The sequence below is a fragment of the Homo sapiens genome, chromosome 8 (genome assembly GCF_000001405.40).
Source record: "Homo sapiens chromosome 8, GRCh38.p14 Primary Assembly".
NCBI classification, from domain to species: Eukaryota; Metazoa; Chordata; class Mammalia; order Primates; family Hominidae; genus Homo; species Homo sapiens.
Window position 1 is genome coordinate 22,039,221 of NC_000008.11, and position 14,633 is coordinate 22,053,853.

The following is a 14,633-nucleotide window of genomic DNA, read 5'->3' on the forward strand; positions in this document are numbered from 1 at the left end:
TGGGAGGGAGGCATGAGCCGGTGCACAGTTTATGAAGTCGTGTAAACTGAGAGCAGGAGTTAGAAGTCAGTCAACCATGTAATGGGAGTCCTCAAGGGACAGCTAGGCGTTTCTACAGCCAAGCGCATATTTGGCCCCAAGCACAAGAAGGCGCGCAACAGATAAACCAGTGATCACTTGATTTTGATTTGCAAGCAGGCAGTAGGAAATAAATTGCAAAGGTGGAGGCCGGATGCAGTGGCTCATGCCTATAATCCCAGCACTTTGGGAGGCCAAGGTGGGCAGATCACTTGAGGTCGGGAGTTTGAGACCAGCCTGACCAACACGGAGAAACCCCGTCTCTACTAAAAATACAAAATTAGCTGGGTGTGGTGGCGGGCACCTGTAATCCCAGCTACTTGGGAGGCTAAGGCATGAGAATCATTTGAACCCAGGAAGCAGAGGTTGCAGTGAGCTGAGATCGCGCCATTGCACTCCAGCCTGAACAACAAGAATGAAACTCCGTCTCAAAAAAGAAAAATTTGCAAAGGTGAGGGTCCATCCTCATTGCTAGGGTGCCCTTTGCCCTCTGCCCTTTGCCCTTCCCCTGCCCCAACTCTTCTGTTTTTCAGCAGGAAGAGGGTGGGCTGGGCTCAAGCAGGTGGTGGCAAGTGGCTGACCTGCAGGTGGGCTCTGTGTTTGCACCAGCTGGGCTGTTAGGAGAGGCAGGCGTGAGACGACCCCAGCTGGGGGGTGTTGAACTTGGCACTATGGGGTGAGGATTAACCACAGCAGCCCAGGCTACTTCTCAGTTCCCTTATCACCTCCTGAACCCCACCCCCCCAGCAATGAATGTTAATAAACCCCACCCTTCTTCCCTCCCCCTTTCCCCGAGCTCACTCCAGTCAAGGGAGAGAGTCTGACAGTTTAGGTCAACTGAGGCTAAGCCACAAAAAGGGCCCCTGCCCCCATTCTTGTGGCACTTGATGCGTTTCTGTGAGTCCTTTATCTCAGCTGACGTGGATGGCGGTGGTTTTGACAGTATCCCTGCTGGTAGCCATTTCCTTTTTATAAACTGGGACCCTGAAACCAGAGAAGTGAAGGGACTTGCCACAGGTCACACAGCGTATAAGGACCAGGGCAAAGGGGCGGGGATAAAATCAAGGGCTCCATGCTGCCTCCCCACTTGGGGCCCACCACTGGCTTCCCCATGGGCGTAAAGGAGCAAACCAAGTTAGAAGGCCAGGCCTGCAGGTGCCCAACAGGAAGGGACAAGGAGCCACAGCTGTCTTGCCTGTGACACAGGCCATCCAGCCATGCCCAGAGCTAACCCCCTGGCTAAGCCCCGAGGCCCAGCTTGACTGCTGGCATCTGTTACCATGGAGACCCAGGCTGGCCTGAGGGCTGGGCCAGTGATGGCAGGCCCTGTCCCCATGGATAGAAACAGGTGCTTGGGCTCAGAGGCCTTGAGTGGCTCCCACTGTCCCCATGGCCAGTGAGTCCCGACAGCATAAATTGGAACCGTTACCCACCTTTCGCCCCCCAGCTGACACCTCCACCAACCCAAGGCCTGAGCTGTCCCCTCCACGTGTCTGTGCTCTCTTTAATGCCCTGCCTGGGGGCTGGGAGTGGTGAGGATGTGGATGTGAGGTTGAAGGTTTCTCAGGGAATGAGCCAGAGCTGCCAGAAGAGGCAGAGTGTAACCCAGACTGCAGATGATGGGAAGAACGCGGAACAGAAGTGACCTGAAGGATCCGCAGGGGGAAAGCAGAGAGGTGGGCACGCGGGCACCTGGTACCTTGTCCCAGCCATGCCACCAGCTAGCTGTGAGGCTTTGGGCGAGTCCCTTGCCCTCTCTGGCTCTCATCCAAGGAATGAGGAAGTTGGAACAAATGATGAATCCCTAAGACCCCTTCTAGGTTTGACATTCTTTGAGTTGCATTCCAAAACCCTGGACTCCCCCAGGTAAGCAAGGCCAGGGCTTGCCCCATCCTCCCCACACAAGCTCAGGCAGCACCCACTCCTGGGCTGGGTTCCCGAGGAAGAGCCTGCGGAGAGGAGACCCCGGAGCTGCCTGCACTGGTCAGTGCATGGGGGCAGGGGTGGCAGACCACTTTGTGGATTGATGGAGCTCAGGAAGGTGAGAAGGGACCCACAGGTGAGAGTTTCGCTCCCCTGGTCATCTCTTTAGGTAAATAAATCCACATCCGCCACTTCCCCTTCCCTTCCCACCCTGGGGGCGCTGAGAACTCCAGGGAGCCCAGAGCTGAGGCCTGAGCTCTGCTTGCTCACACTGGGTCTTCCCTCAGAGACCCCCAAGCCCTCCTATCTTCTGCAGTCACCGTCATCCACTTTTCTGTAGGGAGGGAACAGCATGGAGCTCTCTGTTCACCGGTCTCCAGGACCTCGGATTCCACCTTTAATCCTGAAAACCCAGGAAGGCTTCTGTATCCCTACAATGAAGCAGGTTTGGGGCTGGATCTGCAGGGTGGCAACTCAATCCATGCAGAACAGAAGAAGCATGGACTTTTCCATTCTGGCTATTCCATTCACTAGCTGGGCCATTCTGAGCAAACTACCTCCCAATGTGCCTCAGTTTCCTCATCTGCAAAATGGGCTAGTCGCTGGCATTGTACCGAGCAGTATGAGACCGGAGGTCATGGGAAGAGGCTGGTAGGCACTTCATCCCAGGCAGCTGCTCAGGGACATGGGACACAGGGAGGGGACTCCGAGCTGCTCCTAGCTCAGAGAGGCTCTAGGGACAGGCACTGGAAGGAAGGGGATGCAGAATGGTGAGTGGAGCTGGGTCTCAGAACACAGACATCTTGAAGTCTGCTATGTGCTGATTTCACACTTGACCCCCCAACACCCTGAGGCATTACTGTCCTCATTTCTCAGATGGAACTACAGAGGCCCAAGGAAAAGGGGCTTAGGCCAGGACACCCAGCTCTTCTCCAAGTGTCTGTCTCAGGCTAGCTTTTGCAACTCTCCATTGGGATTCTTCCTAGATCTCCATCTGTACCTGCCAACCCACCTCTGACCCCCAACCTGTTGCGCCCAGTATTTGCTGCCGATCAGGACAGCCTTAACCCCTCCTTCCCGGGCAATCAGCTGCTCCAAGCCAAGCCCACCCCTGCCCCCTGGAGGGAGGCGGCTCCTTTTAAGGCTGCTTCTGGGAATTTCCACTCCAGAGCCAGAACCAGAGACCCCAGCCCCACTTGACACCTGCGGCTCACCCTTGGGGAGGTGGGGCGCCAGACCTGAGTGCAGGAGACGCAGACCTGGAAGGGCTCCCCCTCCCTGACCTGCCACACATCGAGTTTGTCTGCGTCGAGTTTGGCCAGTCTGTGAGGGTCAGGAATAGAGCAGGAGACAGCAGGGCCACCTCCTTCAGAAGGCCCCCACCGCTCCATCCCTGCACTGGGTGGCCCAGGAGAGACTGGCAGCCCAGAGGGCACAGCGCGCACGCCCCCACCCGCATCTGCTTTGCAGCCTCACTGGCCAGGAAGGTGGACACCTCATACCTCAGTCTCCCAATTACGCCCTCCTCCTCCCCCTCCTCCTCCCTCTTTTCTCTCCTCCTCCTCCCCTTTCTCTCCTCCTCGCCCCCCTGAAAACCTGTGGCTCGGAGAGACCTTGGCTTCTCTGGGACTCTACCCCTGGGGACTTCCCACATCTGCTCCTGAGCTTGGGGGCAGGGGGGCAACCGCCTGAGGAACCTCTCCAGCGATGGGAGCCGCCCGCCTGCTGCCCAACCTCACTCTGTAAGTGTGCTACCTCTCCCACTGGAGTTTCGTTGCCATTTCCAGCCTCAGGGCAGCCCTCCTCTTCCCGGGACTCCCACGCGTGCGTGCACGGGGCTGGCAGGGCGGGGGCGGGGGCCTGGGTGCACCCTAGGCTTGCAGCTGGCACCCACACCTGGGCTTACCTCCTCTCCCCACACAGGTGCTTACAGCTGCTGATTCTCTGCTGTCAAACTCAGGTAGGCGGGCATTCCCACCGGCTTTCCCCCAATTTTTCCACCCTACCTGACCAGGGCGGGTGCAAGGGACCGGCTCCTTTCAGGTGGACAGAGGCAGAGTCTGGCCTCTCCCTGGGTCCAGGAGGCACTGAGGTTTGGAGGGGAGTGAGCCTTTGACCGGGTGGGCAGGGAAGGGGGCTGACTGAGGTTTTGTCTCTGTCCTCCCTCTGAGGACCCTCCCCACTTCCCCTGGGTCTCTGCTCCTCTTCCTCCCTCTCCATCGGGTTCCCCCAGACTTGAGGGATGGAGCCTGGAGCGGTTGGAAGCAGGTGGAGGTGATGGCTCAGGTGAGGCTTGGGTTTGCCAGTACCTGAAAGGACAGGTTTTGATGCAAGACCACTTGTATGTCCTTCTCGCCACCCCACTCCCATCAATATGGATGCCTGGGGTGGGGGTCTCGTGAGCATGTCCAGAATGCCTGGCCAGGGTGAGGTGACTCCTCACCTAGAGGGCACAGAGGTCAAGCCCAAAGAGGTTTGTTTGGGACGGGATGCAGGGTTCGCTTCTCCACACTCCCCCCACCCCAAGTCGGCCCCCCACCTCCCTCCATGCACACCTCCCACCCCCAAGTCTCAGCCCCCAGTGCGAGGCTTGCTCCCTTTTTTGTGATCCTCCATAAAAGTGCAGCTATTAAAATGCACTGGTCCAGAACCGCTCTGGGGAGAGATCGCTTGGCTTTCCCAGGCCAGAGGCCCGCTTCTCTTCATATCCAGTGGGGACTTTTTTTGAAGGTAAATGCCTTTTCTCTGGGAGAGGGAAAGGGGCAGCCTTTGAAGCAGTGGGGGGGTGGGAGAGGGAGAGACAATTCCCCCCCCCTTCCTTCCCCCTTTTGCTCCAGCCCCGTTCCAGGCCTTTTGCTTCACACATCCAGGGGGAGCCAGAAGAAAGCCCCCAGCCTGGCTGGGAGGGGGCTGGGGGTGGGCCCAACCTGTTCTGGAGGGGAACTAGCACAATGGTGCGGCTGGCCGGGCGTTTATGGCCTGGCTGAGGCCCCATTCAGGACTCAGGGAAGGTGGCAAAGCGGTCCTTTCCCCCTTGAAGTGCCCCCTCACCCCCCTGGGAGGGGGGGCCAGCAGGCCGGACCACAGCCATGCTTGAGGGGCTGTCTGACAAGCAGCTGTCTGCAGTGGTGGAAGGGGAGGTCCTCCCGCAGCGGGAACATGAAAGGGACAGGCTAGGTCCCGCGGGGAGAGGGACTTGTGGGTTGTGGGCTGTGGGGGGGCGTGGGGCTGCTTTTGTGAAAAGCTTGAAGGGGGACGAGGAAAGGAGGGGGCTTCGGGGGGGCGCTTTCTGCTCCTGACCTGGAACAGACTGCCAGAGGAGGCCGTCGGCCAAGAGGGGCGGAGGGCCTGAACCTGGGCCAGGAGGCGGGGCTGGGATAGGCAGGACCCCACCCCCTGGAAGGGAGGCCAGCGTGGGGCAGGCTGGGCAGGTCCCCCACCCCAAATGCTCCAGGGTGGGGCGAGGGGCAGGTCTTGCAGAGGCTAGGCAGAGGCTGCTCTATGGGGAGGTGCAATTGGAAATGAGCAACGGTGCACAGTAAGTGTTAACCCCGCGCAGGTTAAATGTCCAGCTCTGAGAGCTGCTCCCTCACTCCCCCTGCCTCAAAGGTGATATTTCCCACCCCCTCCCTAGGAGAGAGTAGCCCCTAACAGATGCTAATCTGGGTCTAGCTCTGTCCAGATGGCTGAGGTTGGGCCTGGGATAAAGGTGGAATTAGGGATTTGGGGCAGGGGCTGAGAAAAGCTGTCCCAGCACAGGCAGCGGCATCCAGGTGGAGACAAAACCAGCAAAAAAGGTACATTCTCATGCTAGAGCTGAGGCTGTTGCCAGGAGCCAGGAAACCTAGCCCGGGTCGCACCTTGCAGGATGGAGGGGAAGAAGTACTCAGTCTCTCCCACTCAGCCTTACAGATGGGTAACGAGAGACCTAGCTGGGAGGCGGTACTCCTCCTGGCTTTGCACAGTGCGTGGGGGGAAATGGTTCCTCTCCCCCAACCCAAAGGGGAAGCAGGTGGGCGGGCGCATCCCACCAACTGGCCAGGAGCCTCTGTTACATTGTGGCTAAGGAGCTGCCTGCCAGGGGCAGCCATTGGGCCACCGCTGATAGTGCCTGTCCTCTTGGTACTGCCTCTGCCTCCCTCCGCTAAGGAGGCACCTTGCCTGCCTGCTGTCCCATAGTGCCCAGCCCCAGCCCCAGCCCCAGCTCCAGCCCATAGAGGAGGGAGGAACACTGGAAGGGCCCTGAGCACCAGGGGGCAAGGCCGGGAAGAAGATGGGTATGAGCTCAGGATTCCACAGTTAGTGCTTCAAAGAAATGCTCATGGGACCCTGCAGGAGCTTTCAGAGTCCCCCACATGCTCTCTGGTGACCCTAACTCGCAGCACCATCTGCTCTGTGCCCGTGTGCTGGGCAAGGGGTCTTTCAAGGCCAGTGGGGAGGATGAGGAAGGAATCTGGTTGTCCTGGCTAATGGAGCATGTCCTTGGAGTTCTGGGGGAGATGACAGGCTCTGGTCTAAGAGGTAGGGACAGGGGTTCTGTCCCTAATGAGCTGTGTGCCCCGTGCACCTCCTTCATAGAATACGAGGACGGGATAGAACCCTGAGGGCTCCTTCCAGCTCCCAGAGTCCTGATTCCAGGGCTGTGCTCTGTCAATAAGTGTCCCCCAGCCTGGGCAGACCCCAGTCCCTTCTGTAAGGTAGACGCAAAGCAAAGAGGTTATGACCGGCTCACCCAGGGGCCTGGGAAGGCTATGGCCATATGCCCACTTCACTCTGCAGGACAAGTGGCCTGTCCCCACTATATTCACCTCCTCACCCCTCTCCCTTGGATGGACCAGTGGTGGTGTCACCCAAAGCAAATTGACACTATTTTTCCCTTGGTAACCGCAAAGGGGGAGAATCACCCGTCTCCTAATTTTAACCAGTACGTGAGGGACCAGGGCGCCATGACCGACCAGCTGAGCAGGCGGCAGATCCGCGAGTACCAACTCTACAGCAGGACCAGTGGCAAGCACGTGCAGGTCACCGGGCGTCGCATCTCCGCCACCGCCGAGGACGGCAACAAGTTTGGTGAGAGTTGGCCCTCCCCCCAGGGCACCCACACCTCCACTCTGCCTCACTTCCACCCTGCCTCACCTCCTGGTCCATCCCCAGATCCTGTGTCAGGGCTGAGGGCCCCAAGGGCCTGAGTGTCCCCAACCCCTTCGCCTGAGTCTGGAGGTCAGTGTGGCTGGGTGGTCCCCTGCTGTAGCCATAGGCCGGCAGCCCCGATGGACGGAGGTCTTTCTCCCCTCCCCCACCACAGCCAAGCTCATAGTGGAGACGGACACGTTTGGCAGCCGGGTTCGCATCAAAGGGGCTGAGAGTGAGAAGTACATCTGTATGAACAAGAGGGGCAAGCTCATCGGGAAGGTGAGGCTGGGAGACTGGGAAGTAACAGAGAATCAGCCCTACTGGGGTGGGGACATATAGGGCATCATGCTCCCCTCTCTCCTCTGAGCCACACACCCTCCTGTGTAAAGACTTCCCATCCTACTCTCAGCCCACCCACTGGGCCACTCTCTGGTTTTTATTTTAGAGTCCGGGTCTTGCTCTGCTACCTAGGCTGGAGTGCAGTGGCACAATCATAGCCCACTGCAGCTTTGTACTCCTGGGCTCAAGCAATCCTCTCGCCTCAGCCTCTGAAGTAGTAGCTGGCACTATAGGTGCATGCCACCATGCCCAGCTAATTTTTTTTTTTTTTTTTGTAGAGATAGGGCCTCACTATGTTGCCCTGGCTGGTCTCAAACTCACGGGCTAAAGCGATCCTCCCACCTCAGCCTCCCAAAGTGCTGGGATTACAGGCGTGAGCCACGGAGCCCGGCCTGGTTTCTCTATTTAAATGAGTCCCCGGGACTCTATTAGCCCTCTGAGGGGACTGGCAAGCCACTGGGATCTGTGGGGCTGATGTCAGGAGTATTTCTCCAGCAGGCATCAGTAAGAGCTTAGCATCTACCTGACACTGCAGCCTCTGGGTGGAGGACTAAGAGCTGTTGAGGGTGGAAAGTGGGGCACAGATGTAAGACAGGAACTCCCCCAAGTTCAGTGGGGCCAGTGGGCTCCAGCTAGCAAGATAGACACTAAGCAGCTGCCCCTGTGACCAAAGCACACGGTAGGCCGGGCCCTGCTGGGTGGGAGAATTCCACTTCGTTTGAAACCAGGCAATCCCAGCTTCCCATTCGGCTGTCGCTGACCAAATAACCTTTGGTTTGCTTATCTTTGTCAAGCCTCAGGCTTCTTGTCTGTAGAAATGGGCACAGACCCCTGATTGCAGACAGAGTGGGATGGGTGGCTGCACTGGCACCCTTCTTTCTTCTCATTGGAGGCTGCTGCCTCCTCTCCCATGCCCAGCAGCACCCCTCACCTAGGCTGCATGAGCATTTCAGTGCTAAGGGCCCGTGCATGCTGGGAAATGCCGCAGGTCCTTGATCTTCACCTACATCTCAGGAAGCTGAGGCCCAGCCTGGTTCAGGACCGCTAAACGACAAGCCTGCAACTCAGATCCACAAAGCGTGTTCTTGTTGGCCACTGTTGCCTCTCTAAATAGGATGCCATCTCACCAGGCAGAGTTCCCTGGGCTCACGGCCCCGTTGTTCCCGTTGTCCCTCCTCAGTCGTCCAAAATAGGCCGTAAGGGCGACACCCCAGACCAGGGTAGGTGGACAAATGCCCTTCCTGTCCTTGCTTCTCCCGCAGCCCAGCGGGAAGAGCAAAGACTGCGTGTTCACGGAGATCGTGCTGGAGAACAACTATACGGCCTTCCAGAACGCCCGGCACGAGGGCTGGTTCATGGCCTTCACGCGGCAGGGGCGGCCCCGCCAGGCTTCCCGCAGCCGCCAGAACCAGCGCGAGGCCCACTTCATCAAGCGCCTCTACCAAGGCCAGCTGCCCTTCCCCAACCACGCCGAGAAGCAGAAGCAGTTCGAGTTTGTGGGCTCCGCCCCCACCCGCCGGACCAAGCGCACACGGCGGCCCCAGCCCCTCACGTAGTCTGGGAGGCAGGGGGCAGCAGCCCCTGGGCCGCCTCCCCACCCCTTTCCCTTCTTAATCCAAGGACTGGGCTGGGGTGGCGGGAGGGGAGCCAGATCCCCGAGGGAGGACCCTGAGGGCCGCGAAGCATCCGAGCCCCCAGCTGGGAAGGGGCAGGCCGGTGCCCCAGGGGCGGCTGGCACAGTGCCCCCTTCCCGGACGGGTGGCAGGCCCTGGAGAGGAACTGAGTGTCACCCTGATCTCAGGCCACCAGCCTCTGCCGGCCTCCCAGCCGGGCTCCTGAAGCCCGCTGAAAGGTCAGCGACTGAAGGCCTTGCAGACAACCGTCTGGAGGTGGCTGTCCTCAAAATCTGCTTCTCGGATCTCCCTCAGTCTGCCCCCAGCCCCCAAACTCCTCCTGGCTAGACTGTAGGAAGGGACTTTTGTTTGTTTGTTTGTTTCAGGAAAAAAGAAAGGGAGAGAGAGGAAAATAGAGGGTTGTCCACTCCTCACATTCCACGACCCAGGCCTGCACCCCACCCCCAACTCCCAGCCCCGGAATAAAACCATTTTCCTGCAAATGGGTTATCTGAAGCGGGGCGGGGGATCCGACCACCGAACACCCCTGGAAACGAGCCTGCCCGTCCCCGGCCGGGCGTGGCCACGGCAGGTGCAGGCGCGGCCCGCAGCGCTGGGGCCCCCAGGAGGCCGCGGGCTCGGCCCCGCGGGAGGCGGGCGCGTCCAGGCCGGGCGGCCCCTCCCTGGCGCGGGCTCGGGTTTCCTGGGCTCGCGCGGCGCGGCCCGTGCTACCTGTTGGGGAAGAAAACCCGAGCCCCCGGAGGGGCCGGGGCCGGGGCCGGGACGTGCATCCAGCCGGGCCCCGGGCCCCAGGCCCCAGGCCCGAGGCGCAGGCGAGGGCCCTGCGGAGCCCGGCGGAGCCCGGGCGGCCCGCGGACGCCAGGAGCCTCCTCGGGCAGCGAGATTGCTTTTTTTCCGGTGAGGAGGGCGGGGGCGGGAAGCGGGGTTGGGCGGCCGGAAGGGGGGAGGGGGCGAGAAGGCGTCCCCTGTCCTCCCGGGTCCCCGCGGGGCCGGGGCGGGGGCCACACCTGAGGGCAAATCTCAATTAGAGGCAGCGGCCCGGCCCGGATGGCCCGGGGGGTAGGGGGCGAGAGGGGCGGGGAGGAAGGGGCGGCCTTGCCCCCACCCCAGCTTCTCCGGTGGGCTTTCCCAGGGTCCTCCAGGTGTGCGTGTGGGGAGTGGAACTCGGGGGCCATAAAACCCGCCTCTTCAGTGCGCTGGCTTTTAATCTTGTCGAGGGGGAGGTCTTCCTCGCAGGGACAACCCCCCCCCCCCGCCACCCCACCAGGTCAGCTCTTCAGGGGGAACACCCTCAGTGAGCGCTCTCTTCTGGGGGTGGGGCCCCAGCCTCAGTTTCCCCTACCCTCACGGAGCCCTCTCTTCTGAGGATGTCCCCCAGCCTCAGTTTCCCCTTCCCTCACTGAGTCCTCTCTTCTGAGGATGTACCCCTTCCAGCCTGTTTCTCCTCCTCTCCCTCTTCTTTCTGAGACTACCTTGAGGAGGGGGATTATGGAGAGAGAAGGATGAAACACATCCCTTCTCCTCTCTGCTCCCTAGAATGGCCTAAAAATGAGAGAGGAAGTGGGGAAGGGCCCTCGTCCAGTGAAAATGGGAGGTGGGTGCAGCTACAGTCTCAGTTGATGGCGAGCGCCGGCGCAGAGTCTGACACCCCCACCACGGGGCAATTTAGAAGGTGGGGACAGCGGCAGCCAAGAGGGAGGTCCCCGGCCCTGGGACAGACATTCTCCCTACTGCTCGTCATAATTGCTTTTCACCAGGTTACTTTTTTCTCTCCCCCATCACAAAGAGCCTTAATCCCAGTGAAGACCGCGCCGTGTTGGGGGTAGTTTTCTGGGATGTGTGTCGGGAGGGTGGTCTGGAGCCACAGCTGATAACTGGCGAGTTCAATGGGACTTAACGGGGGCAACACCCAGCAATTACTTGAGGACAAAGGGTTGGGGGCCCCCCAGGTGTAGAAGACTGGACTTTGGGGGGTGGCTGGGGAGGAGGCTGGGAAGGAGGTGTGTTGGGGAGGGGGCTCTTAAAATCCCTCTGATTTCCGCAGGAATTTGAGACATTCTTTAAAACTCTAGACTGCCTCCCCGCTAGCCCGGCTCTCCGGCCCACCCCTGCCCCTCCCTCGCTCGGGTTAGAGACGGCTTCAAAGGTGGACGGGGCCCTTTGTCTTGCCTCCGCTTTCTTCTCGGCCTTTCTCCGGCCCCTCCCTCCCTCCCTCTCTTTGACCTCCCCGGTACCGACAGGCCTCTGGGGGCTGGCTCCAGAAAGCCCTCACTGTTTTCTTTCTTGCTTTTTGAGGTGAGACCTGGCAGGGAGGGACAGAGAAGGGAGAGGGAGAGGGAGGGCCGCTCCAGAGGCCTGTGCTGTCCCAGGGAGTGCCCTCATCCCACCCCATCCCCGAGGTATCCAGCGCCTGCTCCCGCCCTGGGTCTCTGGGTCTCTGGGTCCCTGGGTCCCTGGGTCCCTGGCTGGTCTCTGACTGAGCCTTCTCCTCACCACACCTCTCGGCGCCTCTGCCCAGTGTCCAGGCACTGCCATTCCCCAGGTGGGTCTTCAGGCTCTGGAAGTCTGTTCAGCTCATTCCCCCTGAACTGGTGGTGACTTCGAAGATGCTAAAAGGAAGAAGCCACAAGAATAGATCCCTAATGATGGCACTTCAGAGGAGATTTAACATGCACATCTAGGCGGTTGGAAGGAAGGAGACTTCCCCCAGGTCCTCAGACCACACCTGGCTTCAGCAACCCTGCTTGCCTCTGAGCGCCTGGGTCTATGCAGGTGTGAGCATGGAGTAGCCACAGGGGGCTAATTGCTAATAGCCCCTTGCCGTTGGGGAAACACGAACCCATTTAGGGGAGGATGTGACCAGGTGGAGGGAGGTGGCGGCAGCGGCCACCAGTGCCTCAAGTCTCACGCCAGTTTGGGATTACCAAGAACTCTCACTAAGAATGGCTCACAAATTTACCTCCCCTTTCTCCACCCTGTCCTCCAAACAGCCAGACGAGGCAGAGGGGAGCCAAGCAGGTCATCAGAGGGGGACATTCACTCACTCTTTAGGCCACACAAACTGGTTCCACTTACATCATTCTATTCAATCCTGTCCCTCTGACGCTGAGACAGTGACTTTCCAGGGACCAAGCCGAAAGCCTTGCCTCAGTCCTCAGTGTCTTCAGCCCCAAGCGCTTGCTATGGCAAAGAACCGTTTCTCCTTAAGCCACACCCCACCCCCCTCGGCCTGCCCTCAGCTGTCCTGCCTGGCTTCTCTTTCCCAGCTCCTCACAGAGGACCCTCACCCAAGATTCCCTCCCGCTCTGCTCTCTGTCTGCCAGCTGCCCCTCTGAGCAACCTCAGCATCTCAGCCACCGCCTCCTTGCGCGTGACTGCTCTCTGCCAAACCCTGGGGCTCTGCACCGTGGCCAGACCTCACTGGGATCTATCTAAATATCCACTCGCTCCCTACATCATCTCTGTGCCTCTCAACACTGCCCTCCAGTCCAGTACATCCGAGTTTGCTCCACTTACCTTCCCTACCATCAACCACAGCTCTACCCACGCCACACTATCCCGGCCAAACTCCTTAGCGTCATCTTTAAGACTCCTGTCCAGCCCTGTCCAGTCTCCCTATTCGGCCCTAGCCCCACAACTCCCCTTTAAGAATACTGGAAAACTGGAACTCTATCAAGCAAGCATGTCCCCATTCTCATTTGAAGGGTCCCCGCCACCTGGCGTGTCCTGCTCTAGCACACACACACACACCCAGACCGCAGGCTCCTCCTCTGCTCCATAGGCTCTTGGCACTACCCCGGGATGAGCGACTGTCTCCACTGCCACTGGTCTTGCCAGCCATTCACTTGCCCTTGCCTTGTGGTACATGTCACAGCTTGTCCAGAACTGTCATGATGTATGTGCTTGTCATGATTCCGCTAAATAGCAAGTGCCCCAGATGTAGAAATAGTCCATCTTTTCCTCCCCGACAGTGCCCAGCACAGTATGTTGCACAGGGTAAATGTTTATTGAGGAAATAAACCACTTGAAGCCCTAGAAAGAAGTCATTGGCCCAACACCCCACCATCCCTCTAGGCAGAGGCAGGAGAGAGGCCAGAATCCTGCCTTCTCCTTCCTTCTTTAGGCAGACGTGGGTGGGGCGGGGGCTTAAGCAGTTAGTCCCAGTGTTTATTTTCCCCCCACAACATTCAAGTCCTGTGCTAATCCTTCTGTTAATAAAAAACATGGACAAGATAGAGCTCTCAAGGCACTTGAAATTTAATTGGAGGGATAAACCCATAAAAAGGCAATTATTTGTTCTTTGGTGGGACTTTTGGAAAACCCTCTCTTACACATGACATAACAAAGCAACCTTTTTTTTTTCGTACGTCCCCAAAGAGGGAAAGGGGAGATAAGAATTATTGGGAATAAGGAAACTAATATGTACCGAGCTCAGGAGATGTGCTAGGCCACACTCAGGGCATACTTGCTTGCAATCCTTCTTTAGGGCAGTGAGATGTTCCCATGTAGCACATGTGGATGAGTTCACACTCAGAAATGCCAGGCCATTCACGGTCTCACAGCTAGTGAGCACTGCACTCTAGATTCTGCCCGGCTTCCACACTTTGCCTGCAAAGTGTGCCCAGGCATCGTGAGTTCTGGGGCAGGAGAGAGCACAGGCCAGGGTGCTTGCGGGGGCTTTGTGGAAGGTCTGGGGTTTGCATGATTTCAGATGATTTCAGTGGAGAAAATATGCACAGAGCGGAAAATGACGAGAGGAAAAACGGGCACGAGAATCAAGGCGGCAAAATGGGAGGTGTGCTCCAGGGAAGGGGAATAGTCCGTCTACTTGGCTGGAGCTGAAATTTGTGTAGAGAAGTGGCAGGAAGTGATTGGATCAAATGATGAAGAGTTTGGTCCTTATGCTGTGGCAGGGAGGAGATGGTGAGGGGCTTTGCGGGGGCCAGATGCAGTGGTCTGGTGGCAGCATGCTGAAGGAGTGGAGGCTCTAGGGTCTGGGCAGCAGAGTCCAATGCCCGGAGGCAGGGGCACATGGCTCCCAATCTCTGGTGAGAATGGTGGCTTTGGGGCCCTCATCCTTCCTTTTCTTCAGGTCTCTGTCACCCTTTCCTTCCTCCCTGAGTGTCCAGGTGCCCTGGCTCCACCTCTCCCGAAGTTAATGTTTAGATAGCTCCCCCGCCCAGCAGGTTGGTGTGTAGGGTGGGGCCGGGGGGCACTGGAGTGAGACAGACCAGACGTGGACAGAGAAGCCTATCGACAGGGCCTGGGGGAGGGAGGAGGCAGCAGGGCCGGAGTCCACCCAGGACATCTGGCACCAGTGACCTTGTGGGGAAAGGAGCCAAGAACGGGGCGTCGGGGGGCCTGGGACCCCCCTGCCTGAGAGATACAGGAATCCTGGCCCCGTGTTGTGGACACAAGCGCCCATCCTCAAGGTCCTGAGAACTCCTGAACTTCCAAAGGTATGAGAGCCCTGGCAGCCGCCTCCTGCCTGCTCAGTATGGAGCAGAGCTGAGGAAGCCCACCCGC

At 58.9% G+C, this 14,633-nt stretch overlaps 2 protein-coding genes across 31 annotated transcripts in view, besides 8 other annotated features; both read left to right on the forward strand.

Moving 5' to 3' along the window:
- FGF17 (fibroblast growth factor 17) lies at positions 452-9,589 on the forward strand. 6 transcript variants are annotated; one of them, XM_011544684.2, is made up of 6 exons: positions 488-529; positions 1,526-2,446; positions 3,935-3,961; positions 6,894-7,071; positions 7,307-7,413; positions 8,736-9,589. In XM_011544684.2, the coding sequence occupies exons 2-6, from the start codon at positions 2,354-2,356 to the stop codon at positions 9,027-9,029; spliced, it is 699 nt and encodes a 232-aa protein (XP_011542986.1). In that variant the 5' UTR covers positions 488-529; positions 1,526-2,353; the 3' UTR covers positions 9,030-9,589. The 6 variants fall into 6 exon arrangements, with proteins under 6 accessions (XP_011542985.1, XP_011542987.1, XP_011542986.1 ...); XM_011544683.2 differs by having other exon boundaries at positions 452-2,446; XM_011544685.2 differs by having other exon boundaries at positions 452-2,446; positions 6,927-7,071.
- Positions 4,358-5,595: an enhancer, noted in NCBI's record as "VISTA enhancer hs782". NCBI's record gives its function as "enhancer in: hindbrain (rhombencephalon)[10/13] | midbrain (mesencephalon)[10/13] | forebrain[9/13] | tail[6/13]" and the evidence as "EXISTENCE:transgenic organism evidence [ECO:0001131][PMID:17130149]".
- Positions 5,868-5,917: an enhancer, noted in NCBI's record as "active region_27075". NCBI's record gives its function as "activates an Ori minimal core promoter by ATAC-STARR-seq in GM12878 lymphoblastoid cells {active_cell/tissue: GM12878}" and the evidence as "EXISTENCE:reporter gene assay evidence [ECO:0000049][PMID:35858748]".
- Positions 6,611-7,117: an enhancer, noted in NCBI's record as "H3K4me1 hESC enhancer chr8:21903342-21903848 (GRCh37/hg19 assembly coordinates)". NCBI's record gives its function as "activates a minimal SCP1, AML or CMV promoter by ChIP-STARR-seq in naive H9 embryonic stem cells {active_cell/tissue: H9 hESC(naive)}" and the evidence as "EXISTENCE:reporter gene assay evidence [ECO:0000049][PMID:30033119]".
- Positions 7,118-7,623: an enhancer, noted in NCBI's record as "H3K4me1 hESC enhancer chr8:21903849-21904354 (GRCh37/hg19 assembly coordinates)". NCBI's record gives its function as "activates a minimal SCP1, AML or CMV promoter by ChIP-STARR-seq in naive H9 embryonic stem cells {active_cell/tissue: H9 hESC(naive)}" and the evidence as "EXISTENCE:reporter gene assay evidence [ECO:0000049][PMID:30033119]".
- DMTN (dematin actin binding protein) overlaps positions 9,711-14,633 on the forward strand; it is a 33,595-nt gene continuing 28,672 nt past the window's right edge. For 20 of the 25 annotated variants that reach the window (XM_047421498.1, XM_047421497.1, XM_047421502.1 and 17 more), the window contains exon 1: positions 14,335-14,566. The gene's annotated coding sequence lies outside the window, so the exon portion shown is untranslated. Of the gene's footprint in view, positions 10,005-14,334; positions 14,567-14,633 lie in introns of those variants that run through there. The other 5 variants (NM_001387727.1, NM_001387726.1, NM_001323397.2 and 2 more) reach the window with 1 other exon arrangement.
- Positions 10,695-11,551: an enhancer, noted in NCBI's record as "VISTA enhancer hs781". NCBI's record gives its function as "enhancer in: forebrain[10/12]" and the evidence as "EXISTENCE:transgenic organism evidence [ECO:0001131][PMID:17130149]".
- Positions 10,695-12,227: a biological region, named in NCBI's record as "VISTA enhancer hs781".
- Positions 11,433-12,227: an enhancer, noted in NCBI's record as "OCT4-NANOG-H3K27ac-H3K4me1 hESC enhancer chr8:21908164-21908958 (GRCh37/hg19 assembly coordinates)". NCBI's record gives its function as "activates a minimal SCP1, AML or CMV promoter by ChIP-STARR-seq in naive and primed H9 embryonic stem cells {active_cell/tissue: H9 hESC(naive and primed)}" and the evidence as "EXISTENCE:reporter gene assay evidence [ECO:0000049][PMID:30033119]".
- Positions 12,228-13,020: an enhancer, noted in NCBI's record as "H3K4me1 hESC enhancer chr8:21908959-21909751 (GRCh37/hg19 assembly coordinates)". NCBI's record gives its function as "activates a minimal SCP1, AML or CMV promoter by ChIP-STARR-seq in naive H9 embryonic stem cells {active_cell/tissue: H9 hESC(naive)}" and the evidence as "EXISTENCE:reporter gene assay evidence [ECO:0000049][PMID:30033119]".

Bases quoted from the DNA above. Each gene is read 5' to 3' on its own strand.
- FGF17 (XM_005273675.2), top strand. From the start codon at position 6,753: ATGGCCATATGCCCACTTCACTCTGCAGGACAAGTGGCCTGTCCCCAC. The intron at 7,072-7,306 runs GTGAGAGTTGGC...CCCCCACCACAG, and splicing joins CGAGGACGGCAACAAGTTTG to CCAAGCTCATAGTGGAGACG. The intron at 7,414-8,735 runs GTGAGGCTGGGA...CTTCTCCCGCAG, and splicing joins GGGGCAAGCTCATCGGGAAG to CCCAGCGGGAAGAGCAAAGA.